Below are 27,144 nucleotides of genomic sequence, written 5' to 3'. Positions count from 1 at the left end.
CAGATGTCTCTTCAACATACTAATTTTGTTTCCTTTGGATATGTACCCAGTAGTGGAATTGCTGGATCATATGGTAGTTCTATTTTTAGTTTTTTGATGATAATTTATACTGTTTTCCATATAACTATACTAATCTACATTCCCACCAACAGTGTAAAAGAGTTCTCCTTACTCTGAATCCTCACCAGCATTTTAAAAAATTAATAGTCATTCAAATTGGGACGAGATGATATTTCATTGTGGTTTTATTTGTATTTACCTGATGATTAGTGATGTTGAGCACGTTTTTCACATACCTGTGGGCAATTCATATGTCTCCTTTTGATAAATGTCTATTTGGTTCATTTTACCAGTTAAAAATTGGTTTATTTGGTATTTTTGCTGCTGACTTGTTTTAGTTCCTTGTATTTTCTGGATATTAATCCCTTGTCAGATGACTAGTTTGTAAATATTTTCTCCAAGTTTTCTGTATGTTGTCTTCACTCTGTTGATTGTTTCTCTTGCTATGGTAGTTTGATATAATGCGATTTGTCTATTTTCTCTTCATTACCTGTACTTTTGAGGTCTTCAACATGAAATATTTGCTCAGACCAATGTCTTAAGTATTTCCCCTATATTTTATTCTAATAGTTTCATAGTTTCAGGTCATAAGTCTTTAATCCATTTTGAGTTGATTTTTGTACATGGTGGGAGATAGGGGTCTGGTTTTCTTTTTCTTTTTTCTTTTTCATTTTTTTGAGACAGGTTCTCACTATGTCACTCAGGCTGGAGTGCAGTGGTATGATCTCAGCTCACTGCAACCTCTGCCTCCCAGGCTCAGGCGATCTTCCCACCTCAGCCTCCTGAGTAGCTGGGATTACAGGCTTGCACCACCACACCTGACTAATTTTTTATGTTTTTTGTAGAGAAAGGGTTTCACCATGTTGCCCAGGCTGGTCATGAACTTCTGGGCTCAAGTGATCTGCTTGCCCTGGCCTCCCAAGGTGCTGGGACTACAGGTGCGAGCCATCAATGCCTGGCCTGGTTTTATTGTTCTCTTTATGGATATCCAGTTTTCCCAGCACGATTTATTGACAAGACTGTTCCTTTCTCTATCAGTGTTTTTGGTTTCTTTGTCAAAAATCAATAGGCAGGCTGGGCATGGTGGCTTACACCTGTAATCCCAGCACTTTGGGAGGCCAACACAAGAGGATTGCTAGAGGTCAGGAGTTGGAGACCAGCTTGGTCCACATAGCAAAACCTTATCTCTCTAAAAGAAAAGAAAAGCCAATAACAAATTAGCTAGCTATGGTGGCCTGTGCCTGTAATCCAGCTACTCAGGAGGTTGGGGTGGGAGGATCATTTGAGCCCAGGAGTTCAAGTCTGCATTGAGCTGTGATCCTGCCACTGCACTCCAGCCTGGGTAATAGAGTGAGACCTTGACTCGAAAAGAAAAGAAAAAGAAAAAGAAAAAAAATTAGTTGGCTTTAAATACATGGATTTATTTCTGGGTTTTCTATTCTGTTCCATTGGTCTATATGTCTGTTCTTATGTCAGTACCATCCTATTTTGGTTATTATAGCTTTATAGTATATTTTGAAGTCTGGTTGTGTGATGCCTCCAGGTTTGTTCATTTTTTCTTTTTCATACAAATGGGGTCTTGCTATATTGCCCAGGCTGGTCTCGAACTCCTGGACTCAAGCAATCCTCCTACCTCAGCTTCCCAAAGCACTGGGATTACAGGTTTGAGCCACTATGCCTGGTTCCAACTTTATTCTTTTTGCTCAGGATTGCTTTGGCTATTCAGGATCTTCTGTGGTTCCATGCATATTTTAGTTTTTTTTTTTCTATTTTTAAAAAGAAGGAGTGTCTCTTCACTTTTGGTGTCCTCTTCAATTTCTTTCATTGTGCTTTATAGTTCTTTTTATAAAGATTTTTACCTCCTCAGTTAATTTTCTTTAGGTATTTGTTGGTAGTGATTGTAATTGGGATTGCTTTTTTGATTTCTTTTTCTGATAGTTCTCTGTTGGTGTATAGAGACATTACTGATTTTTTAATGTTGATTCTGTATCTTGCAAATTTACTGAATTTGTTGATCAGTTCTAAGAGTTTTTTTGGTGGTGCTTTTAGGTTTCTTTACACATAAGTTCATGTTGTCTGCAAACAAGAACAATTTGACTTCTTCCTTTCCAATTTGGATGTGCTTTATTTCTTTATTTTGCCTAATTGCTCTGACTCAGACTTCCAGTATTATGTCTAGTAAAAGTGGTGAAAATAGGAACCCTTGTGTTGTTCCTGATCTTAGGGGAAAGGCTTTTAATTTTTCCCAATTAGATGTGATGTTAGCTTTGGGTTTGCCATATATGGCCTTTATTATCTTGAGGTATGTTTCTCCTATACCAAGTTTGTTGTGGGTTTTTATCATAAAGTGATGTTGAATTTTATCAAATGCTTTTTCAGCATCTATTGAAATGATTATATGGTTTTTGTTCTTGGTTCTGTTAATCAGATGTATCACGTTTATTGATTTCCATATGTTGAATTATCCTTGCATCCATTGGCTAAATCTCACTTGATCATAGTGAATTATCTTTTTAATGTGCTGCTAGATTTGGTTTGCTAGTATTTTGTTGAGGATTTTTACATCTATCTTCATCAGGGATATTGGCCTATAGTTTTCTTTTTTTAAAGTTATTGTCTAGTTATGGTATCAAGGCAATGCTGGCCTCATAGAATAAGTTTGGAAGAATTCTGTCCTCCTCAATTTTCTGGAAGACTTTGAGAAGAATTGTTAATTAGTTCTTCGTTAAATGTTTGGTAGAGTTCAGCAGTGAAGCCACTGGGTCCTGGGCTTTTCTTTGATAGGAAACTTTTTATTTCTGTGGTATGAGTTGTAATGTCTCCTTTTTTTGTTTCTGATTTTTATTATTTGGATCTTTTCTCTTTTCTTGATTAGTCTAACTTGTGGAACTTTACTGATTTTATCTTTTTTAAAAAACCAGCTTTTTGTTTCATTGATACTTTTTTTTGTCTCAGTTTTATTTGTGCTTTGATCTTATTTCTTTCCTTCTAATTTTAGGTTTAGTTTGTTCTCACTTTTCTAGTTTGTTGAAATGCACTGCTATGTTGCTTATTTGAAAGCTTTCTATTTTTTCATGTAGGCATTTATTGCTATAAATTTGCTTCTTAATACTGCTTTTTCTGCATCTCATAGGTCTTGGTATGTTGTTTCTATTTTCATTTGTTTCAAAAAATTTTTAAATTTCCTTCTTAATTTCTTTATTGACCCATTAATTATTCAGGAACATGCTGCTTAATTTCCATGTATTGGTACAATTTCAAAAGTTTCTCTTTTTATTAATTTCTATTTATACTCCATTATGATCAGAAAAGATACTTAATATGATTTAAATTCTTTTAAATATATTGAGACTTGTTTTATAGTCTAACATGTAATCTCTCCTGGAGAATGGTCTATATGCTGATGAAAATAATTTGTATTCTGCAGCTGTTGGTTTAAATGTTCTGTAAATGTCTGTTAGACATTGGTCTACAGTACAGCTTAAATTCAATGTTTCTTTGCTGATTTTCTAGATGATCTGTTCAATGCTGAAAGTGGGGTGTTGAAGTCTCCAATTATTATTGTGTTGGAGTCTATCTCTCCCCTTAGATCTTATAATACTGCTTTATATATCTAGGTGCTCCAGTATTCAGTGCAGGTACATTTAGAATTGTTATATACTCCTCTTGCTGGATCGATCCCATTATCATTATATAATGACCCTCTTTATTATATCAGCTCAGCCCTAACACAACTGCTCAACTTGATCCAGGGTATTGATTCTTCAGGGGGCAATATGCCACTTCAGCTCAGGCCTGGTTGTGTGTGATTGTCCTGGGCAGCCCAGGTGCTATTTCCCTGGAATGCAAGGTACCACTTCAGGTTAGGTACTGGGGTCACGACTACTCTGGGCAGCCAAGGCACCATTTCCTGGAATGCAGAGGACTGATTCAACTTAGGCACTGGGGAGGTATGACTGACATGCCTTGCCAAGGTATCATTTTCCTAGGAAGTAGAGTACTACTTTAGCTCCAGCCCAAAGGGGCAGTGGTAGGGGTAGGTAGAGTGGCTCCACGTCTGCTTGGTTCTGTGGAGAAGGGTATAACAGCAGCTTGCATCTTGGCTTGAGTGTGTCAGGCCACTGGGATGGGGTGGTTTAGTGGTGGCTTAGCCTCAGACATGAAAGGGAGCCTTGGCTACTCAACCCCAGAGCAAGACACACTCCAGCCATGGTACCAACACTAAGATGGTATAGTGCAGTAGCTGTGTGAGCCGCAGTGTCTGCTCCTTCTCTGGGAAGAACACAGCTATGTGGACTCCAGGAAGCTCCCTTAGCTGGGTTTAGTGTCTGTGAGGACTCCAGAGGACTCCAGTGGTGAGGTCTGTAGGTGTCCAAGGAGTTGATGGGAGCTGCTGGGAACTTCTTGCTTTATTTCCTCACTATAGGAAGAAGTTCCTCCTTGTTCCCAGCTGATTCCAGTTGGGGAATGAGATGGTTCAGTCCTGGCATTTTCTTGTATTCTTTATATGGCCATCCCAAGTTTCTGTTATTCCTCTGGTGTACTTCTGCTCTCTCTCTCCACTATTTTTGTAAAAATATATCTTATTTGTTGTTCTGGCTGTCTTTGTGAGGAGGACAAGCACTAGGGCTTCTGCTGAGCCGTCTTGCTTAGATCATGTATTTTTTTTTGTTATTATACTTTAAGTTCTAGGGAACATGTGCACAACGTGCAGGTTTATTATGTATACATGTGCCATGTTGGTGTGCTGCACTTGTTAACTCGTCATTTACATTGGGTATATCTCCTAATGCTATCCCTCCACCTTCAGCCCACCCTACGACAGGCCCCGGTGTGTGATGTTCCCCACCCTGTGTCCAAGTGTTCTCATTGTTCAATTCCCACCTATAAATGAGAATATGCAGTGTTTGGTTTTCTGTCCTTGCGATAGTTTGCTCAGAATGATGGTTTCCAGCTTCATCCATGTCCCTACAAAGGACATGAACTGATCCTTTTTTATGGCTGCATAGTATTCCATGGTGTATATGTGCCACATTTTCTTAATTAGGTCTATCATTGATGGACATTTGGGTTGGTTCCAAGTCTTTGCTATTGTGAATAGTGCTGCAATAAACATACATGTGCATGTGTCTTTATAGCAGCATGATTTATAATCCTTTGGGTATATGTCCAGTAATGGGATGGCTGGGTCAAATGGTATTTCTAGTTCTAGATCCTTGAGGAATCGCCACACTGTCTTCCACAATGGTTGAACTAGTTTACAGTCCCACCAACAGTGTAAAAGTGCTCCTATTTCTCCACAGCCTCTACAGCATCTGTTGTTTCCTGACTTTTTAATGTTCACCATTCTAACTGCTGTGAGATGGTATCTCATTGTGGTTTTGATTTGCATTTCTCTGATGGCCAGTGATGATGAGCATTTTTTCATGTGTCTATTGGCTGCATAAATGTCTTCTTTTGAGAAGTGTCTGTTCATATACTTTGCCCACTTTTTGATGGGGTTGTTTGATTTTTTCTTGTAAATTTGTTTAAGTTCTTTGTAGATTCTGGATATTAGCCCTTTGTCAGATGAGTAGGTTGCAAAAATTTTCTCCCATTCTGTAGGTTGCCTGTTCACTCTGATGGTAGTTTCTTTTGCTATGCAGAAGTTCTTTGGTATAATTAGATCCCATCTGTCAATTTTGGCTTTTGTTGCCATTGCTTTTGGGGTTTTGGTCATGAAGTCCTTGCCCATGCCTATGTCCTGAATGGTATTGCCTAGGTTTTCTTCTACAGTTTTTATGGTTTTAGGTCTAACATTTAAGTCTTTAATCCATCTTGAATTAATTTTTGTATAAGGTGTAAGGAAGGGATCCAGTTGCAGCTTTCTACATATGGCCAGCCAGTTTCCCCAGCACCATTTATTAAATAGGCAATCCTTTTCCCATTTCTTGTTTTTGTCAGGTTTGTCAAAGATCAGGTGGCTGTAGCTGTGTGGTGTTATTTCTGAGGTCTCTGTTCTGTTCCATTGGCCTATATCTCTGTTTTGGTACCAGTACCATGCTGTTTTGCTTACTATAGCCTTGTAGTATAGTTTGAAGTCTGGTAGCGTGATGCCTCCAGCTTTGTTCTTTGGCTTAGGATTGTGGCAATGCAGGCTCTTTTTTGGTTCCATATGAACTTTAAAGTAGTTTTTTCCAATTCTTTGAAGAAAGTCATTGGTAACTTGATAAGGATGGCATTGAATCTATAAATTACCTTTGGCAGTATGGCCATTTTCATGATATTAATTCTTCCTATCCATGAGCATGGAATGTTCTTCCATTTGTTTGTGTCCTCTTTTATTTCATTGAGCAGTGGTTTGTAGTTCTCCTTGAAGAGGTCCTTCACATCCCTTGTAAGTTGGATTCCTAGGTATTTTATTTTCTTTGAAGCAATTGTGAATGGGAGTTCGCTCATGATTTGGCTCTCTTGTTTGTCTGTTATTGATGTATAGGAATGCTTGTTATTTTTGCACATTGATTTTGTATCCTGAGACTTTGCTGAAGTTGCTTATCAGCTTAAGGAGATTTTGGGCTGAGACGATGGGGTTTTCTAAATATCATGTCATCTGCAAATAGGGACAATTTGACTTCCTCTTTTCCTAATTGAATACCCTTTATTTCTTTCTCCTGCCTGATTGCCCTGGCCAGAACTTCTAACACCATGTTGAATAGGAGTGGTGAGGGAGGGCATCCCTGTCTTGTGCCAGTTTTGTTTTCAAAGGGAATGCTTCCAGTTTTTGCCCACTCAGTATGATATTGGCTGTCAGTTTGTCATAAATAGCTCTTATTATTTTGAGATACGTCCCATCAATACCTAGTTTATTGAAAGTTTTTAGCATGAAGGGCTGTTGAATTTTGTCAAAGGCCTTTTCTGCATCTGTTGAGATAATCGTGTGGTTTTTGTCTTTGGTTCTGTTTATATGATGGATTAAATTTATGGATTTGCATATGTTGAACCAGCCTTGCAACCCAGGGATGAAGCCAACTGGATCATGGTGGATAAGCTTTCTGATGTGCTGCTGGATTCGATTTGCCAGTATTTTATTGAGGATTTTTGCATCGATGTTCATCAGCGATATTGGTCTAAAATTCTCTTTTTTTGTTATGTCTCTGCCCGGCTTTGGTATCAGGATGATGTTGGCCTCACAAAATGAATTAGGGAGGATTCCCTCTTTTTCTATTGATTGGAATAGTTTCAGAAGAAATGGTGCCAGCTCCTCTTTGTACCTCTGGTAGAATTCGGCTGTGAATCCATCTGGTCCTGGACTTTTTTTGGTTGGTAGGCTATTAATTATTGCCTCAATTTCACAACCTGTTATTGGTCTAATCAGGGATTCAACTTCATCCTGGTTTAGTCTTAGGAGGTTGTATGTGTCCAGGAATTTATCCATTTCTTCTACATTTTCTAGTTTATTTGCGTAGAGGTGTTTATAGTATTCTCTGATGGTAGTTTGTATTTCTGTGGGATCAGTGGTGATATCGCCTTTATCATTTTTTATTGCATCTATTTGATTCTTCTCTCTTTTCTTCTTTATTAGTCTTGCTAGCAGTCTATCAATTTTGTTGATCTCTCAAAAAACCAGCTCCTGGATTCATTGATTTTTTGAAGGGTTTTTTGTGTCTCTATTTCCTTCAGTTCTGCTCTGATCTTAGTTATTTCTTGCCTTCTGCTAGCTTTTGAATGTGTTTGCTCTTGCTTCTCTAGTTCTTTTAATTGTGATGTTTGGGTGTCAGTTTTAGATCTTTCCTGCTTTCTCTTGTGGGTATTTAGTGCTATAAATTTCCCTCTACACACTGCTTTGAATGTGTCCCAGAGATTCTGGTATGTTGTGTCTTTGTTCTCATTGGTTTCAAAGAACATCTTTATTTCTGCCTTCAGAAATAAATGACTACTGTACCCAGTAGTCATTCAGGAGCGGGTTGTTCAGTTTCCATGTAGTTGAGCAGTTTTGAGTGAGTTTCTTAATCCTGAGTTCTAGTTTGATTGCACTGTGGTCTGAGAGACAGTTTGTTTTAATTTCTGTTCTTTAAAATTTGCTGAGGAGTGCTTTACTTCCAACTATGTGGTCAGTTTTGGAATACATGTGATGTGGTGCTGAGAAGAATGTGTAGTCTGTAGATTTGGGATGGAGAGTTCTGTAGATGTCTATTAGGTCCACTTGGTGCAGAGCTGAGTTCAATTCCTGGATATCCTTGTTAACGTTCTGTCTCGTTGATCTGTCTAATGTTGACAGTGGGGTGTTAAAGTCTCCCATTATTGTTGTGTGGGAGTGTAAGTCTCTTTGTAGGTCTCTAAGGACTTGCTTTATGAATCTGGGTGCTCCCGTATTGGGTGCGTATATATTTAGGATAGTTAGCTCTTCTTGTTGAATTGATCCCTTTACCATTATGTAATGGCCTTCTTTGTGTCTTTTGATCTTTGTTGGTTTAAAGTCTGTTATATCAGAGACTAGGATTGCAACCCTTGCTTTTTTCTGTTTTCCATTTGCTTGGTAGATCTTCCACCATCCCTTTATTTTGAGCCTATGTGTGTCTCTGCACATGAGATGGGTCTCCTGAATACAGCACACTGATGGGTCTTGACTCCTTATCCCATTTGCCAGTCTGTGTCTTTTAATTGGAGCATTTAGCCCATTTACATTAAGGTTAATATTGTTATGTGTGAATTTGATCCTGTCATTATGATGTTAGCTGGTTATTTTGCTCATTAGTTGATGCAGTTTCTTCCTAGCATCAATGGTCTTTACAATTTGGCATGTTTTTGCAGTGGCTTTTACCAGTTGTTCCTTTCCATGTTCACTGCTTCCTTCAGGAGCTCTTGTAAGGCAGGCCTGGTGGTGACAAGATTTCTCAGCATTTGCTTGTCTGTAAAGTATTTTATTTCTCCTTCACTTATGAAGCTTAGTTTGGCTGGATATGAAATTCTGGGTTGAAAATTCTTTTCTTTAAGAATGTTGAATATTGGCCCCCACTCTCTTCTGGCTTGTAGAGTTTCTGCCAAGAGATCCGCTGTTAGTCTTATGGGCTTCCCTTTGGGGGTAACCTGACCTTTCTCTCTGGCCGCCCTTAACATTTTTTCCTTCATTTCAACTTTGGTGAATCTGACAATTATGTGTCTTGGAGTTGCTCTTCTTGAGGAGTATCTTTGTGGTGTTCTCTGTATTTTGTGAATTTGAATGTTGGCCTCCCTTGCTAGGTTGAGGAAGTTCTCCTGGATAATATCCTGAAGAGTATTTTCCATCTTGGTTCCATTCTCCCCATCACTTTCAGGTACAGCAATCAGACATAGATTTGGTCTTTTCACATAGTCCCATATTTCTCAGAGGCTTTGTTTGTTTCTTTTTACTCTTTTTTCTCTAAACTTATCTTCTCACTTCATTTCATTTATTTGATCTTCAATCACTGATGCCCTTTCTTCTACTTGATGAAATCAGCTTCTGAAGCTTGTGCATGCGTCAGGTAGTTCTTGTGCCATGGTTTTCAGCTCCATCAGGTCATTTAAGGACTTCTCTACACTGTTTATTCTAGTTAGCCATTCGTCCAATCTTTTTTCAAGGTTTTTAGCTTCTTTGCAATGGGTTCAAATATCCTCCTTTAGCTCAGAGAAGTTTGTTATTACCAATCTTCTGAAGCCTTCTTCTCTCAACTCATCAGAGTCAATCTCCGTCCAGCTTTGTTCCGTTCCTGGTGAGCGGCTGCATTCCTTTGGAGGGGAAGAGGGGCTGTGATGTTTAGAATTTTCAGCTTTTCTGCTCTGGTTTCTCCCCATCTTTGTGGTTTTATATACCTTTGGTCTTTGATGATGGTGACGTACAGATGGGGTTTTGGTGTGGATGTGCTTTCTGTTTGTTAGTTTTCCTTCTAACAGTCAGGACCCTCAGCTGCAGGTCTGTTGGAATTTGCTGCTGGTCCACTCCAGACCCTGTTTGCCTGGGTATCACCAGTGGAGGCTGCAGGACTGCAAATATTGCAGAACAGCAGATGTTGCTGTCTGATCCTTCCTCTGGAAGCTTCGTCTCAGAGGGGCACTGGACTGTATGAGGTGTCAGTCAGCCCCTACTGGGAGGTGTCTCCTAGTTAGGCTACTCGGGGGCCAGGGACCCACTTGAGGAGGCAGTCTGTCAGTTCTCAGATCTCAGACTTGGTGCTGGGAGAACCACTACTCTCTTCAAAGCTGTTAGACAGGGACGTTTAAGTCTGCAGAAGTTTCTTCTGCCTTTTGTTCAGCTATGTCCTGCCCCCAGAGGTGGAGTCTACTGAGGCAGGCAGGCCTCCTTGAGCTGCGGTGGGCTCCACCCAGTTGGAGCTTCCTGGCCTCTTTGTTTACCTACTCAGGCCTCAGCAATAGCGGACACCCCTCCCCCAGCCTCGCTGCTGCCTTGCAATTTGATCTCAGACTGCTGTGCTAGCAGTGATTGAGGCTCTGTGGGCGAGTGACCCTTACAGCCAGGTGTGGGATATAATCTCCTGCTGTGCCATTTGCTAAGACCGTTGGAAAAGTGCAGTATTAGGGTGGGAGTGTCCCGATTTTCCAGATACAGTCTGTCATGACTTCCCTTAGGTAGGAAAGGGAATTCCTGGACCCTTGGGCTTCCCGGGTGAGGCAGTGCCCCACCCTGCTTTGTGGGCTGCACTCACTGTCTGACAAGCCCCAGTGAGATGAACCTGGTACCTCAGTTGGAAATGCAGAAATCACCTGTCTTCGGCGTTGGTCACGCTAGGAGCTGCAGACTGGAGCTGTTCCTATTTGGCTGTCTTGGAACCTCTCTAGATCATGTATTTTTATGCATTCTGGCAATCTGTGTCTTTTGATTAGAGAGTTTACTCCATTTACATTTAAAGTAATTACTGATAAGGAGGAATTTAAATCTGTCATTTTGCTGCATGTTTTTTATATGCCATGCATCTTATTTACCTTTTGTTTCCTACATTATTGTCTTCTTTTGTGTTTAATTTTTATAGTGAAATATTTAAATTCCTTTGTCATTTTCTTTTGTGTACATTCTACAGATATTTTCTTTAAGGTTGCCATGGGGATTACATTTGGTATTTAAAGTTGTAACACTCTAGGCTGGGCGCAGTGGTTCACGCCTGTAATCCTAGCACTTTCGGAGGCCGAGGTGGGTGGATTGCAAGGTCAGGAGATTGAGACCATCCTGGCTAACATGGTGAAACCCCGTCTCTACTAAAAATACCAAAACAAAATTAGCCGGGCGTGGTGGTGGGCACCTGTAGTCCCAGCTACTCAGGATGCTGAGGCGAGAGAATGGCGTGAACCTGGGAGGCGGAGCTTGCAGTGAGCCGAGATCATGCCACTGTACTCCAGCTTGGGCAACAGAGCGAGACTCCATCTCAAAAAACAAACAAAAAAACAAAACAAAAAGTTATAACACTCTAATTTGAATTTATACCATCTTAACTTCAGTAACACACAAAATCTTTGCTCCTTTATAGCTCTGCCCTCACCTCTTTTGATTGTTATTTTCACAAGATTACATTATTATACATTGTGAGTCCAAAAATGTAAATGAATACTTTCTTTAAATGTATTCATTTACATTTTGTATTTAAATGAATTTATGTATTTAAATGAATTTATGTATTTAAATGAATATATGTATTTAAATGAATATATGTATTTAAATGAATATTTCTTTAAATGTAAATTTTCATTTGAACTTTGGTGAATCTGACAATTATGTGTCTTGGAGTTGCTCTTCTCAAGGAGTATTCTCTCAAATTTTGTAGAAAATAAAATATGGAGTTACAAAGCAAAGTTACAATAATGCTAACTTTTAGATTAATATGTTTTTAAATGTATTAATCTCTTAAATTGTATAGAAAACAAAAAGTGGAGTTACAAACCATTGTTCCAGTAACACTAGCTTTTATACTTGCCTCTGTATTTACCTTTATTAACATCTTTATTTCTTTGTGTGGCTATGAGTTACAGCCACAGGTCTAGTGGTAATGAGCTAACTCAGCTTTTGTTTATCTGGAAATGTCTTAATTTCTCCCTCACTTTTAAAGGACAATTTTGCCAAATATAGGATTCTTGGATAACAGTTTTGCTTTTTGTACTTTTAGCACTTTGAATATATTGATCCACTGCCTTCTGGCCTCACAGTTTTTGTTGAAAAATCTGCTGATTATCTCATTGAGTATTTCTTGTGTGTGATGAATTGCTTTTCTCTTTCTGATTTCAAGATTCTTTCTTTGTCTTTGTCTTTCAAAGTTTGATTATAATGTGTTTTTGTGTGAGTCTCTGTCAGTGCATTTTTCTTGGAGTTTGTTAAGCTTTTTAGATGTGTATATTTACATCTTTCCTCAAATTTGTAAAGTTTTCTAACATTACTTATTTAAATATACTCTCTGCTCATTTCTCTCTGTCTCTCTCTTTTCCTTCTGGAATTCTCACATTGTTTTGTTCATCCACTTGATGGTGTCCTGTAAGTCCCTTAGGCTCTATTTACTTTTCTTCAATGTTTTTTTCCTTCTGTTCTTTAGACTCAATAATTTTCATTTTCTTTTCTCAGATTCACTAGTTCTTTCTTTTGTCTGCTCAAATCTGCTTTTGAATCCCTCCAGTGAATTTTTCATTTCAGTTATTGTTCTTCTTAACTCCAGAATTTCTTTTTCTCCCCTTAGTTTTCTATATCTTTATTTATATTTCCATTTTGTTCATGCATAATTTTCTTTTCTCCACATCTCCCTTTAGTTCTATGAGCATCTTTAAGATAGTTTTAAGGTATTTGTCTACTATATCTGCCATGTGTTCTTTTTCAGAACAAGTGGTTTATTTTTATTCTTTGAATGTGCCATACTTTCCTGTTCTTTGTATGCCTTCTGATTTTTTTTTGAAAACTGGACATTCAAATCTAGTAACATGGTAACTCTGGTAATTAGATTCCCCCCATTTCCCAGAATTTAATGTTTTTTGTTATTGTTTTTATTATTATTATTTTTTATTCTTGTAGGCTATCTCTGTTCCAAGGATTAACCTGAAATATAAATTTAAGGTCTTCTCAGGTATTTTCTGAGTTTTTCCCTGGGCATGCATAATCACTTTCTAATTTTTTCCATATATGCAGTTGTTTTTGAATGTCTGGCTCCCAAAAGAGGAAAAAGAGAAAAATGAAGAGGAGAAAAAAGAGCACTGGCCCTTTAAGTCCCTTAGAAGTCACTTCAGCTAGTGGGGAGGGGCTTGCCACAGTGGGGATAGGTACAACAACAATGGCTGCCCACCTCTTTGTCTGCATCTCTGTGAGCAGAAGCAGCAATCAATGATCGATCAGAGCACAGATCTCTAGTATCTAGAAGACATGGTCCTTTTTGCCAACCCTGGCTCTCACAAGCTATGTACAGGTTGTTCCAGAAACATATGCACATTTGCCAGTTACAAGGCTGGGACTGGGGATGTGTAGATGGTACTGTGTTCAGAGTACTGAAATTAACTACAATTTATTGTTCAAGCCTTCCCCTGGAAGTTGCAAGCCTTCAGTACATTCTAGTGTTCCAAAATTGTTACATCACATTGATTCACCAGCTCAATTGTTATCTAAGTAGAGAGACAGATTTCTTGTGCCTCCCACTCTATCATCTTTATGAAATCCTCTCTCCACAGTTGTTTCAGTAGAGTGATGCTCATCCTTTTTCCTTACATTACAGTCCGCAGGCAAGAAAGTGAAATTCTGTGCCCAGATGCAAATCCTTAGCGGAATCAACCTGTGCCATCATTGTCCCCTTGATAGGTGGAGCCATCAAGCACATTGCCTGGCACTATCAGGAAACCTGCACAGTTCTGGGTCAGTGGTTGCTAATCACCTCTCTTTAGTCCACACAAGCCTTGAGAGTAGAGCATGTAATAAAAGTACGTTCTTTCAAATCTGAAACTTGGCATTTTGATGGATCAGAAAGCAGAGGAGCCTCTAGAAAATGCTGGCGAATTTCTTTGGGAGTGATGCTAGTATTTTTCTGGGGCATGTATGATACTAATGAACATAGGGCTTGGTATTCTATCATCATCCTTGCCAGCAGCATGGAAAGTGTTATCTGTGGGAAGTATAACTTTCAATTCTTGTATCTTAGTCATCTGGGCTGCTATAAACTGGGTATCTTAACAGAAATTTATCTCTTATTGTTCTGGAGGTGGATCAAGATATCTGCAGATTCAGTGTTTGGTGAAGGCCTATTTCCTGGGTTATGAATGGTGCCTTCTCACTGTGTCCTCCCATGGTGAAAAGGGCAAACAAGCTCCCTTCGGCTTGTTGATAAGCCACTTATGAGGGCTGATCACTTCCTGAAAGGCCCCATCTCCCAATACCATCACCCTGTGGTTAGGATTTCGACCTACAAATTTGGGGTGGGAAGACATAAACATCAAGGCCATGTCATCTTGTCTCGATTTTCTATCCTAATCCCTTCACTCACATGGACAATTAAAGTCCCAGAAAACTGAGAGCCTCAGGAAATTTTGTTTCAGTATCATTCCCATCTAGTAGTTCTCAGGTACTGAGCGAAACCTAAGGATGTGAATCTTTGGGTATCCACATATTCTACGAACTATTGAAAATAGCATCCTGAATTGGCCAAGTTAAATAGACTTAAGCTAGGCTACAAAATCCAAATAGGCCTAGATGAGTGGAGATGATCAAGTTTTGTGGGTAGACAGGGAAGAAGATGAAGAAAGCCAATGCATAGGAAGGGTAGAAGCTGGTGGAAAAAGGAAATCTCGAGGAAACTTTAGAGCCAGAATCCAAATGTTCATGGAAGCATTTTATTTGGTGCCCATGACCACTGATACAAAAAAGCCAAAGCAAAATGAATGTGCAACTCCAGCTTCAATAATATCAGGCCTTTTCAATTCTACATCCTTATTATCTTGCAAATTTATCCCCCCAAGCCCCGCCTCATGCAGTTGGTTCCTAAGTCTGAGAGATTCTACCTCTTAAATACTTAATCTATTTCTCTGATGACCAGAGTAATCTAAAACAAAAATTTGATAGTTACTTTTTTACTTAAGTGCTTCAATGCCTCCCATTTCCTACAGGCTTAAATATTGATATCTAATGTAGTATGTAAGACTACTTATGATTTTGCCCCCTGCTTATTTTTTCTTACTCACGTAACACCATTTCCCCTCCCTCACTCATGTAACACCATTTCCCCTTCCTCTCTAGCCACAGTGTTAGTTCCTAGAATATGCCATTCTTATACATTCCTTTGTGACTCAGTTCCTCTGCATGTTGTCTGGAATGTTCTATTCTTGTCTGTCTGGCAAACTTCTCCTAGTCCTCTAAGACTTTCTGTCTCTCTAAAGTCTTTACTGACCTACCAAGACAGAGTTGAACACCCCTTCCTCAGGACTTCTTTTATCTCTGGCACACAGCTCTATTTTAGGACTCATTGAATTATAATGATTTGAAAGTCTAAGTGTTTCTAGAGGGCACATACGATGTCTAATTCTATGCTTTCAGAACCTGGGACAGTTCTTGATACAGAGTAGGGTCTCAGATTGGCTTTGAATAAACACGATATTTTTGTTTAAAAGCAGAAGGAACTTGTGAACAAGTTCATGTTGTTGATAGTCTCTTGGATTCCATATTTGATGTCTGAAGTATATGATGTTAATTCCTTCCTTGATTTAACGTGTATTTATTGAAGATCAATCCTAAGCCAGAAATGGGAAAACAATGATCAGCAAAAATAAATATGTACTTTACTACTTTTACGGAGTTGAGAATTTATTGGGGAAACTTACTACTGTTGTAGAAATTATTAAATAAAATATAACATCTCTCAGGTTTGGCCCATGATAATAGTCTGAGATTGTCCCTAACACAAGCCTTCCTGAAATATGTCAAAGCCTTTGCCTGTTGGACTACTTTCATTTCTTGTATGCTGCAGGCTCACCTCTTGTTCTCCAGCATACAAAGCCATTTTGGTTGATAAACACAACAAATTAAAAATCGAACATGCAAAATAGTAAAACATCTTGTTTTAATCCAAGCAAAACTTTGTCTTCAGAAATCTGTGGAGGGTTGGGATACATGAGTAACTTTACAGTTTACCAGATGCTTTTGTATTTATAGTGGTATTTGGTTTTGCTTATAGGAAAACCAAAGGAATGTTGGGGGAGCATTCAAGAGTCAACAAAACAGAATCATCCTCTTAGGCTGGAGGGATTACCATTTTAGGCAGTGAGAGATTACTGAAATGTACCCATAAGGGTCCTAGTCTCTGCCCACAGCCAATAAGATGCAAACTTCTATCTCAGGCAGTGTGTCTAGAGGAGTGAAAGAGGCTCCCAGATCTTGGCATTTTGAAAATGGAAAAGGAAAACAAACAAAAAGTATATTCGTGTGAAAATCAGATATCAGAAAATTCAAACAAGCACCGTCCAGGTTCCTACTGTCTTGAGCTCTCCAGAGGGTTATATTCTGCTTCCTTCTCCTTTAGGGTTTCCTAAAAAGAAGGGCAGACTTGGAGTTAAGAGCAAAGATGTATAGTTAGGTCCATTCAAAGGCATAACAGCCAGCATCACAGGGGACAGACGTTCTTTTTAAAATGTTCCTTGAGACAGGGGTTTATCTTTCTTGAATTTGGCTATACCTGTTTTCCTCCAGCCCCTCAGCTGGAGGTGGTAACTAACTAGGAATTGCTGCCAGAGAGGCAATTTCTTCCTTTTAAGTGAAGTGCTGCTATGGCAAAGACATGCTGCTTCAAGGGTTAAACTTTAAAACACTCATTTTGATATATAAAGAAATTATAAACAAAGCACAAGGCAAAGTTGCAATTTCAGTTTGTGTTCAAAGTAGTAATAATTTCCTAAACTGACACTGTTGTTTTGCTTAGTCCAGACCTTTGAAAACAAACGAGTTTTACAAAAGCTATATTAGTAATGTAACAATTAGTGCACTACCACTATTTTCCCCTCTTTTTCTGAGTCTCAGAGAAGATGAAGTTTTCTTGATCATCTTTTTAAAATAAAAGTTGTAGGCCAGGTGAAGCTTTCAAGGTGACTTTGAGACTGAGGGAAGGAAGGAAATGGGGAAGGGAAAACAAACAAACAAACCAAAAAAACACTACAGATTACTTCATACCTCTTTCAAGCTTAAACAGAACTCTACTTTGGCTTTCTAATAAGCTAGTTTTCCAAAAGAGAGTTTGGGCTTTGGCCTAAGACCCCTCTGGAGCCACTGACTTGCCCATTAGATACAGTCTCAGGAAAGCTAATATAATGGCACATTTCGTCTACAAACTTAAGTGAAAAATAACCAGGTACAAAACTTTGGGTTCTCTATCTTAAAAGCAGCAAATATCTGTGTTCTTTTCTCAAAACTGGATTCTGTCAATTTCCTGAATTAACCACTTTACCATTGTGGTTTGCTTGCTTGTTTTTGTTGGGCAGAGTTGCAAATGTAATAAGGGAAGGGGGTCCTTGCACTGGTTTAGTACCAGGCAAGGTTACCAAGGGGGCTCATTCTGGTTCCAGAAAGTGGAGATGGTCATCCTCACTCTCCAGAACTGGGAGTGGCTCATTCCCACTCCCCGGAATCTGGAGTGGGTCTTCCCCACACCCCAAAACTGAGAGCAGATCAACCCCACCCTCCGCAGAAGAAAGACAGTCAGGGCCAAGCTCTTTTGCCCCCTGAGACTTTGGACTTGATTGTCCCCATCAGACCTTCAAAAGATCTGAATGTGGCCGACTTCTTCACGCCTCCAAGCTTCCTGCAGATGAGAGTGCCCATGGTGGACAGAGCAGCTGATGTCTTCTGTTTCACATAGGTGTTGGAGACCTGAACATCAAGCCAGCTCTTGGACAGATTCTGTCTCAGCCCTACCAAGGCGGTGAGGCCTAACTTCCTCTTGAGTTCCCCACAGCGTCTCTCTTTGGCTGCTAGTACGTGGCGTAGGGTTACAATTTCAGCCTCCAATTTAGTGAGTTTGGTTTTGAGCTCTCTTTGCTCGGGCTCTGTCAGATCCTCCAGTTCAGAAGTCGAGTGGGATTCATATGTGCCCACAGAGGTCTCTGTCCTGGCATGTGGCATGGACTGGGAAAGAAGATCTTCGTTAAGAGAGTCCAGGTCCAATTCTTGGTAGAAAGAGTCGAATTATTGGGCTGCAGAGAAATAATCTTGGCCAGCAGAGTCGAAATCTAGGCCTGCAGGCTCAGACTCTTGGCAGGTGGAGTCAGATTTCAGGCGGGAGGGATCCATGGCCCAGCTGGTACAATGGACACCTTGACAGTTGAGTTGACGACCTGGCCTGTGAAGTAGACACGCTAGCTCGTGGTGTTCACTTCCGGGTGGTGGGGGTGGGGAGCCGGGCTGGTCAGGGTTGCGGAGGTGGGACTTCCCGCCCAAACCGCGAGGCTGTAGAATCAGTGCTCAGCTGAGGCGCAACCCACACTGGCGGCATTTTGGCATTGCGAGGACCTCCTGAGGTAGGCAGTGCAGAGATTATTGTCGAAAAGAGAGGAATTTCTCCTGACATGGTAAATGACAAGCCCTGGCCTTCAAACCAAAGCGTCAGGCAACTGTTTTCCACCACACCAGCTCCAACACTTGAAAATCATTTAAACATCATTGTGCTAGTATGAATTTTCAGTTTTGCAGTTGCATTTTCTTTATTCCGCCCTACCTCCACTCACATTTCTGGAAGCATGTCTGCCTACATTCAAGGTTACCTGTTGTGGGAGGTAGTCTGCACAGTAAAGTAAAACTAGTTAAATAGGATCTATCAGAGTGTGGATCCACTCTCCCCTGCCAACCTGCCACCCCAACCTCCCCCCAACCGTAATTCTGCCGAGAGTAAACTTATGCAATGGAAAAATCAGGACGTTAATCCAGTGAGGTCTTGTGGTCGAGCTTCACTTAGCTCATTCTATGGCTGCCTATTCTCAGAGAATATTCTTGAGCAAGTCTTAGACTCTAGTGATTTTGTTGGATATTCTTGTAATTCTTGCGAGCATGATCTTGTGGAACATAATTTGATCCTCAGCAAATTTCAGCAGTTTGCCCTACTCATGCCTATGTGGCTACAATGAAGCATCCAGCTGTGCATTCAAACCAACTTCAGCCCTCCTTTGAGTTTATGTTCTATAACCCTTTCACATAATTTAGTAGTGTTTATTATTGCCTTGTCCTGAGTGGTGTGTTTCCCTAAGTTAAAAAGTGAGAATTGTTCTTGTAAACATGAAGGCTGATGGAGGATTTGGCTATGTGTTTAAAGGCCTGAAAAGGGCAGCAAGGACTCCCTAAAAACCAATTTGTTCCAGAGGGTAGACTTTTCCTCTATTGCCTGTAGAAACACTAGTGGTTTCAGGAACACTCCCAGACTCTGAATCAGAACTCCTCTTTCAAACCTGAGACTAAAGGGTAAAGAAATCCCTGAATTATGCTACATAATATAGAACACACATTGTCTCTTCAAAGTTGAGACTCCAAATCACCAAATCTGAACTTGCACTTGATTTTACTTCTCTGTATTATTTCAACCACCAACCTTGATGCCTATTTTCTTTATAAGCTTCCTCATCCTTCAGTGTATACTATGAAATCTTTTATTAAGCCTTGATTCCTTTTGACAGAGAATGGTTTTTTTTCTCATAGCAAAACTGAGCTTTTCAGACACTTAGTTGCCAGATCCCACATCAAGACATACCCTGTCATTCAAATAGGAAAATAAGAAGTCAAATTATTTCTTTTTCAGATGATATGATTCCATATCCAGAAAACCCGAAAGGCTCCACCAAAAGGCTCCTGGAACTGATAAATGACTTCAGTAAAGTTTCAGGATATAAATTCAGTATCATTTCTATATATCAATAATGTGGCCGGGCGCGGTGGCTCACACCTGTAATCCCAGCACTTTGGGAGGCTGAGGCGGGCGGATCACGAGGTCAGGAGATCGAGACCATCCCGGCTAAAACGGTGAAACCCCGTCTCTACTAAAAATACAAAAAATTAGCCGGGCGTAGTGGCGGGCGCCTGTAGTCCCAGCTACTTGGGAGGCTGAGGCAGGAGAATGGCGTGAACCCGGGAGACGGAGCTTGCAGTGAGCCGAGATCCCGCCACTGCACTCCAGCCTGGGCGACAGAGCGAGACTCCGTCTCAAAAAAAAAAAAAAAAAAAAAAAAAAAAAAAAAAAAAAATAGACAAAAGACATGAACAGACACTTTTCAGAAGAAGACATACAAGTGGCCAACAAACATATGAAAAAACATATGAGAAAATGTTCCACATCACTAATCATCAGAGAAATTCAAATCAAAACTGTAATGAGATAACATCTCACACCTGTCAGAATGGCTATTCTTAAAAAGTCAAAAAACAACAGATGTTAAGAAGGCTATGGAGAAAAGGAAATGCTTATACACTTATACACTTGTGGTGGGAATGTAAATTCAGCTACTGTGGAAAACAGTTTATAGATTTCTCAAGTAACTTAAAACAGAACTACCATTAATCCAGCAATCCCATTACTAGGTGTATATGCAAAAGAAAACAAATCATCCTATTGAAAAGACACATGCACTCATATGTTCATCACAGCACTGTTCACAATAGCAAAGACATGGAATCAACTTAGGTGCCCATCAATAGTGGATTGGATAAAGGAAATGTGGTATATATACAGCATGAAATACTACACAGGAATAAAAAAGAATGAAATCATGTCATTTCCAGGAACATGGATGCAGTTGGAGGCCATTATCCTAGGTGAATTAATGCAGGAACAGAAAACCAAATACCACATGTGCTCACTTATAAATGGGAGCTAAACATTGGATACTCATGGTCATAAAGATGACAACAATAGACACTGGGAACTACTAGAGGGGGAAGTGGGTGGGTGGGGGAAGGGTTGAAAAACTAACCACTGGGTATTCTGCTCAGTATCTGGGTGATTAAATCATTCATAACCCAAACTTTGGCATCACACAATATACCCAAGTAACAAGCCTGCACATGTACCTCTGAATCTAAAATAAAAGTAGAAAAAAAAAAAGACAATAGCCTCTGGAAAGGATGCTCCTTATTGGCAGTGTTCTGATCTCCTGAGTAAACCTGGCTAAAGAAGTAATACAATGGAACAATCCATTTTATTAGGCTTATGCATAAGCACATACGAAACAATATTTATGTTTTGAAAACATAGATCTATCAAATGAAATTTTATTTAATTTATAGTGATAGTAACCAATTGTTTGTATAAGCTATCCTTTTAAGGTGTAAAATACCAAACACTCACCCCATAATTGTAAAATTTCACATCTCTAGATGAGACAATGGAATCCTCTATATTACACAGAAAGGCTCATAAAACTTTTCATATAAAACTGAAAGCTTTTTGATGCTATTTATTTAAATACTAAAAATAGCCAAAGTATTTGATTCAGGAACTATAAAGAAAAAGCTTGAGATTATTTGTAATCCTACAGTGGTTTGATATCCTTTGTTTCCAAGGAGGACACCACTGACCCATTTTTGATAAAGAAAGAACTGAGTTATGTCTCTAGTAAGGGTGATGGATTACACTGATCTTTTGTAAAGTAAAGGTAAGTGGTATAATAAAATGATTTTTTCTCTTTATATGTAGAAGCCTGTATATATTATGTTCTATAAATAAATTCCTAAAGCTTGAATATGAAAACAAAGCCATATCCTCCAGCAGGTCTGGGTTATTTGGGAATAGAAGAAGTTAGATCGTAGTGAGTGATACTCAAGTTTGGAAATGATTAGGAACTTGTATCAGTGCCGGCAGTTTTAACCATTTGACTTATTTTGTTATAAATGATCAATATAGAGCTTTCTGATTACATTGATGATTCAGATTGCTTCTAAAGAACTGACAACTCACCTTGCAGTCTGGTCATTTGCACTGCTAGATTTAACCTAGTGAGTTCTCTAAGGCTTTATTTCTAATATTTAAACAGTTTTTTTTCTGGTGTTCAACTACTATAATTCTAGCTGAATGCAAGGAAAAATACTTAAATATCTAATTAAGCCTGAAAATAAGGCACATAGCTGAAACCCTACTCCAGTCAGAATGTTTTAAGAGTAAGAGAAAATTGGTAGTTGGGCTTTTCTTGTGGAAAGCCAGAATATTATATTTGATTTCAATTTGCAAGTTATTTTCACTACTATCTCACATCATAGCCCAGCTCCATCAATAATATATGTAGTCACCTCTCCATATTCTCCAGCATGAACAGGAATATTGACTGCAGTTTACAACAGCAAGCATTACTGCTATCAGTCTTCATATTTCAGTGGTTAAGTTGATCTTCATTTAGGATGAGGATGATATTTTCTTTCAGCAGCTCTCCTATTTGGACTAATTAGCTTAAAAATACTTAGGTGTACTATAGGTTAGGATTTTCCTGTCTGACATCAAAATATACTATCGGTGTATTAAATCAACATTAGAGCTTATTGCTGTTATTCACCCTCTTTGGTGGTATATAATGGTGGTAGGGGTACTGGGGGAATCAAATTAAGATTCAGAGTCCAGTTGTGTCTGAAGAACTGTATTCCCCTCCTCTGTCATGCCCATTTACATGGGTTAATACGTAAGGGAGGAAGGGGCTTTCAAGGAGGAAGTTTTTTTTTTTTTTTCCTCAGGTCTTAGAGGTAGAAGAGGAATCATAAGGAGAATGAGGGATGGAAAGAAGGGAAAGAAAAATGATCAAATGATGTAGGAACTTCCCTAGATTAAAAAATGAGGGTTCTTCTTGTTGAAACATAAAAGCTTTGTATATAAAGACCTATGTAGAGTAGCAAGGAATCTGTAAACACTGTATTTTTTTCCAGAGACTGGAGTGCTTGCGGAAACACTGGTGGATCTAGGTATGTTTCTCTAGTGATGATCTAGAAATTTGGGGGATGCCTTAAAATGGAGTAGGGGATGGAAAAAGGATAAGACTGCCACTTGCTTCTCACTCTCCTTCACCCACTTCAGCCCAACCAACACTCTCCTTGAATTACATGCAGTTACAGCAAAAGCATAGATTGTTGCTATGGTTTGAAAGTGTCCCCTAAAACCTATGTGTTGGAAAGTTAATCCTCAGTGCAACAGTGTTTAGAGATGGGATCTTTAAGAGATGGTTAGGTCATGAGAGCTCTGCCCTCATGAATGAATGAATGCAGTTATCACTGGAATAGGTTAATTATTCTGGGAGTGGGTTGCTGATAAATGGATGAGTTTGACTCTCTCTCTCTGTTCTCTCATGTTCTTTTGCTCTTTTACCTTCTTCCATGGGATGATGCAGCAAGAAGGCCCTCACCAGATGCTGGTGGCTTGATATTGGACTTTCCAGCCTCCAGAATCATGAGAAATAAATTTCTATTGTTTATAAATTATTCAGTCTGTGATGTTCTGTTATAGTAGCATAAAACTAAGGTAACTATGTTGCTAAAAAGTCTGTAGGGGATCCAGATTACTTGAAGGAGCCAGTGGTAGGTTTCTGTATGTATGACCCTTAACTAAGCAGGAAAATTTGGCAAGACATTTATTTGAAAGATGTACAAATTTTGAGTACCAGGAGATATATCTCCTGGATCGGGCATATATATTTTTTCTCTCCTGGGAAGGTAGGGTTCTCAGGGTGCAGGGTTAAGAGTGGCAGCAGGAGATACTTCTGTCAAGTGGCGGGACACAGAATGGACATCTACAGAAAGGACAGAGCAGAAGCACATGGAAGAGCTAGTCCTGAGCATAGAGGACTCCCAGAAGTAACTGGGGATATTCAGAGAAGGGAGTCTTGAAGTCCTGAAGCTTGGCACTGAGGGGTTGGAACTAACAAAATGTGGGGGCCAGAGTAATTAGATTCATTTGTATCTACAGGCTGTAGAAGCCTGAGGACAATCAGGTTATTTTACATTTTTATTTTATTTTATTATATTTTTGAGACAGGATCTTGCTCCATCACCAAGGCTGGAGTGCTGTGGTGCAGGCTCCTAAGCTCAAGTGATCCTCCCACCTCAGCCCTCAGCCTTCCAAGTAGCCAGGACTATAGGCAAGTGCCACCACATCTGGCTAATTAAAAATTTTTTTTAGTAGAGACGGAGTTTTACCATGTTGCCCAGGCTGGTTTTGAATTCCTGAGCTCAAGCAATCCTCCTGCCTTGGCCTCCAAAGTGCTGTGATTGTACATACACGAGTCTGGTGGCGATCAGGCTATTAATGGAAAAGTTACAATCTTTTTAAAGGTTATGGCCATTGAGGTGAATTTGCTGCAATGCAGTAAACTACAGCCTGTACTCTACTCCCTAGGAGCTTAGCTATTTTTGTCTTAAAACTGTCATGCCTTCTATAGCATAATAACTATTTTATTTCCTTGATTCTGAGGCACAATCAGTTGTAAGACATATCTTTGTTTTAATAAGAGGTTTCTAGGAGGAAAAATCTATATTGTACATTAATTTTAAGATACAATCCTGCCTTAGTCTGTTTGTGTTGCTATACGGGAATACGTGAGGCTGGGCAATTTATAAAGAAAAGAGATTTATTTGGCTCATAGTTCTGCAGGCTGTACAAGAAGCATGGTGTCAGCATCCATCTGCTTGGCTTCTGTTGAGGGCCTCATGTTGCCTCCATTCCTGATGGAAGGTGAGGGAGGAGCTAGCATCACATGGCAAGAGAAGTGCCAGGCTCTTTTCAACAACCAGTTCTCTCGGGAACTAAGGGGGAGAACTGACTCCCTCCTTTGAGAATGGCACCATACCATTCATGAAGGATCCATCCCCATGATCCAGACACCTCTCACCAGGCCCCACCTCCAACACTGGAGATCAGATTTCAACCTGAGACTTGACAGGGCCAAACAAACCATATCCAGGGCTAAGTGTGGTGGCTCACACCTGTAATCCCAGCCATTTGGGAAGGGTGAGAAGATTGCTTGAAGCCAGTAGTTCAAGCAATGACCAGCCTGAGCGAAACAGCAAGACCCCTCTCTACACAAAATTTTATTATTATTATTACTATTATTTTTATTTTTCCATAAGTTATTGGAGTACAGGTGGTATTTAGTTTCATGAGTAAGTTCTTTAGTGGTGATTTGTGAGATTTTGGTGCACATATCAACTGAGCAGTATACACTGCACCATATTTGTAGTCTTTTAATCCCTTGCCTTCCTCACACTCTTCCCCCCGAGTCCCCAAAGTCCACTGTGTCATTCTTATGCCTTTGCATCCTCATAGCTTAGCTCCCACATATCAGTGAGAACACGTGATGTTTGGTTTTTCATTTCTGAGTTACTTCACTTAGAATAATAGTCTCCAATCTCAGCCAGGTCACTGCATATGCTGTTAATTCACTCCTTTTTATGGCTGCGTAGTATTCCATCACACACACACATATATATATACACCACAGTTTCTTGATCCACTCATTGGCATTTGGGTTGGTTCCACAATTTTGCAATTGTTAATTGTGCTGCAATAAACATGCTTGTGCAAGTATCTTTTTCAAATAATGACTTCTTTTCCTCTGGGTGGATACCTAGTAATGGGATTGCTGGATCAAATAGTAGTTTTACTTTTAGTTCTTTAAAGAATCTCTACACTCTTTTCCATAGTGGCTGTACTAGTTTACATTCCCAACAGCAGTGTAGAAATGTTTCCTTTTCACTGTATCCATGCCAACATCTACTGTTTTTTGGTTTTTTGATTATGGCCATTCTTGCAGGAGTATTGCATGGTGGTTTTGATTTGCATTTCCCTGATCATTAGTGTGTGATGTTGAACATTTTTTCATTTGTTTGTTGGCCATTTGTCTATCTTCTTTTGAAAATTGTCTGTTCATGTCCTTGGCCCATTTTTTGATGTGATTGTTTGTTTTTTTCTTACTGATTTGTTAGAGTTCGTTGTAGACTCTGGATATTAGTCCTTTGTCAGATGTATAGATTGTTAAGATCTTCTCCTACTCTGTGGGTTGTCTGTTTACTCTGCTGACTGTTCCTTTTGCCATGCAAAAGCTCTTTAGTTTAATTAGGTCCCAGCTATTTATCTTTGTTTTTATTGCATTTACTTTTGGGTCATGAAATCCTTGCCTAAGCCAAAGTCTAGAAGGGGTTTTCCAATGTTATCTTCTAGAATTTTTATAGTTTCACATCTTAGGTTTAAGTCATTAATCCATCTTTAGTTGATTTTTGTATAAGGTGAGAGATGAGGATCCAGTTTCATTCTCCTACAGGTGGCTAGCCAATTATCCCAGCACTATTTGTTGAAAAGGTTATCCTTTCCCCACTTTATGTTTTTTGTTTGCTTTGTTGAAGATCAATTGACTGTAAGCATTTGGGTTTATTTTTGGGTTCTATATTCTGTTCCATTGATCTATGTGCCTATTTTTATACCAGTACCATGCTGTTTTGGTAACTATGGCCTTATAATATAGTTTGAAATAAAGTAGTGTGATACCTCCAGATTTGTTCTTTTTACTTTATCTTGCTTTGGCTATGTGGGTTATGGGCTCATTTTTGGTTCCATATGAATTTTAGAATTGTTTTTTCTAATTCTGTGAAGAATGATGGTGGTATTTTGATGGGGATTGCGTTGAATTTGTAGATTGCTTTTGGCAGTATGGTCATTTTCACAATACTGAGTCTACCCATCCATGAGCATGGGTTGTGTTAACATTTGTTTGTGTTGTGTTAACATTTGTTTGTGTTGTCTATGATTTATTTCAGCAGTGTTTTATAGTTGTCCTTGTAGAGGTCTTTCGACTCCTTTGTTAGGTATATTCTTAAGTATTTTTTTTGCAGCTATCGTAAAAGGGGTTGAGTTCTTGATTTGATTCTCCACTTGGTTGCTGTTGGTGTGCAGAAGAGCTACTGATTTTCGTACATTAATCTTGTATCTGGAAACTTTGCTGAATTCTTTTATCAGTTCTAGGAGCTTTCTGGAGGAGCCCTTAGGGTTTTCAAGGTAAATGATCTTATAGTCAGCAAACAGTGACAGTTTGACTTCCTCTTTACTGATTTGGATGCTCTTTATTTCTTTCTCTTGTCTTATTGCTCTGGCTAGGACTTTCAATACTATGTTGAAGAGGAGTGTT

General features: G+C 39.3%; 1 protein-coding gene and 1 long non-coding RNA gene across 6 annotated transcripts in view; one reads left to right on the top strand and one right to left on the bottom strand.

Moving 5' to 3' along the window:
* Positions 1 to 14,837: 14,837 nt before the first annotated feature.
* On the bottom strand, positions 14,838 to 18,354 carry TPD52L3 (TPD52 like 3). Of its 4 annotated transcripts, XM_017015280.3 has the most exons (3): positions 17,767 to 18,354; positions 16,480 to 16,547; positions 14,838 to 15,753 (listed from the first exon to the last, which is right to left on the bottom strand). In XM_017015280.3, exons 1-2 carry the CDS (start codon positions 18,131 to 18,133, stop codon positions 16,516 to 16,518), a joined length of 399 nt encoding a protein of 132 aa, XP_016870769.1. In that variant the 5' UTR covers positions 18,134 to 18,354; the 3' UTR covers positions 14,838 to 15,753; positions 16,480 to 16,515. The 4 variants fall into 4 exon arrangements, with proteins under 4 accessions (XP_016870769.1, NP_001001874.2, NP_001001875.2 ...); NM_001001874.3 differs by lacking the exon at positions 16,480 to 16,547; NM_001001875.4 differs by lacking the exon at positions 14,838 to 15,753 and having other exon boundaries at positions 15,809 to 16,547.
* A 106-nt stretch (positions 18,355 to 18,460) lies between these two features.
* The window catches only part of LOC107987046 (uncharacterized), a 100,037-nt gene continuing 91,353 nt past the window's right edge, over positions 18,461 to 27,144 (top strand). For both annotated transcript variants that reach the window (XR_001746614.2, XR_001746613.3), the window contains exon 1: positions 18,461 to 18,528. This is a non-coding gene — a long non-coding RNA (uncharacterized LOC107987046). The remainder of the gene's footprint in view (positions 18,529 to 27,144) is intronic.

The sequence above is a fragment of the Homo sapiens genome, chromosome 9 (assembly GCF_000001405.40).
Source record: "Homo sapiens chromosome 9, GRCh38.p14 Primary Assembly".
NCBI classification, from domain to species: domain Eukaryota; kingdom Metazoa; phylum Chordata; class Mammalia; order Primates; family Hominidae; genus Homo; species Homo sapiens.
Note: the sequence above shows the minus strand (reverse complement) of the source record. Positions and strands in the feature narration are given on the sequence as shown.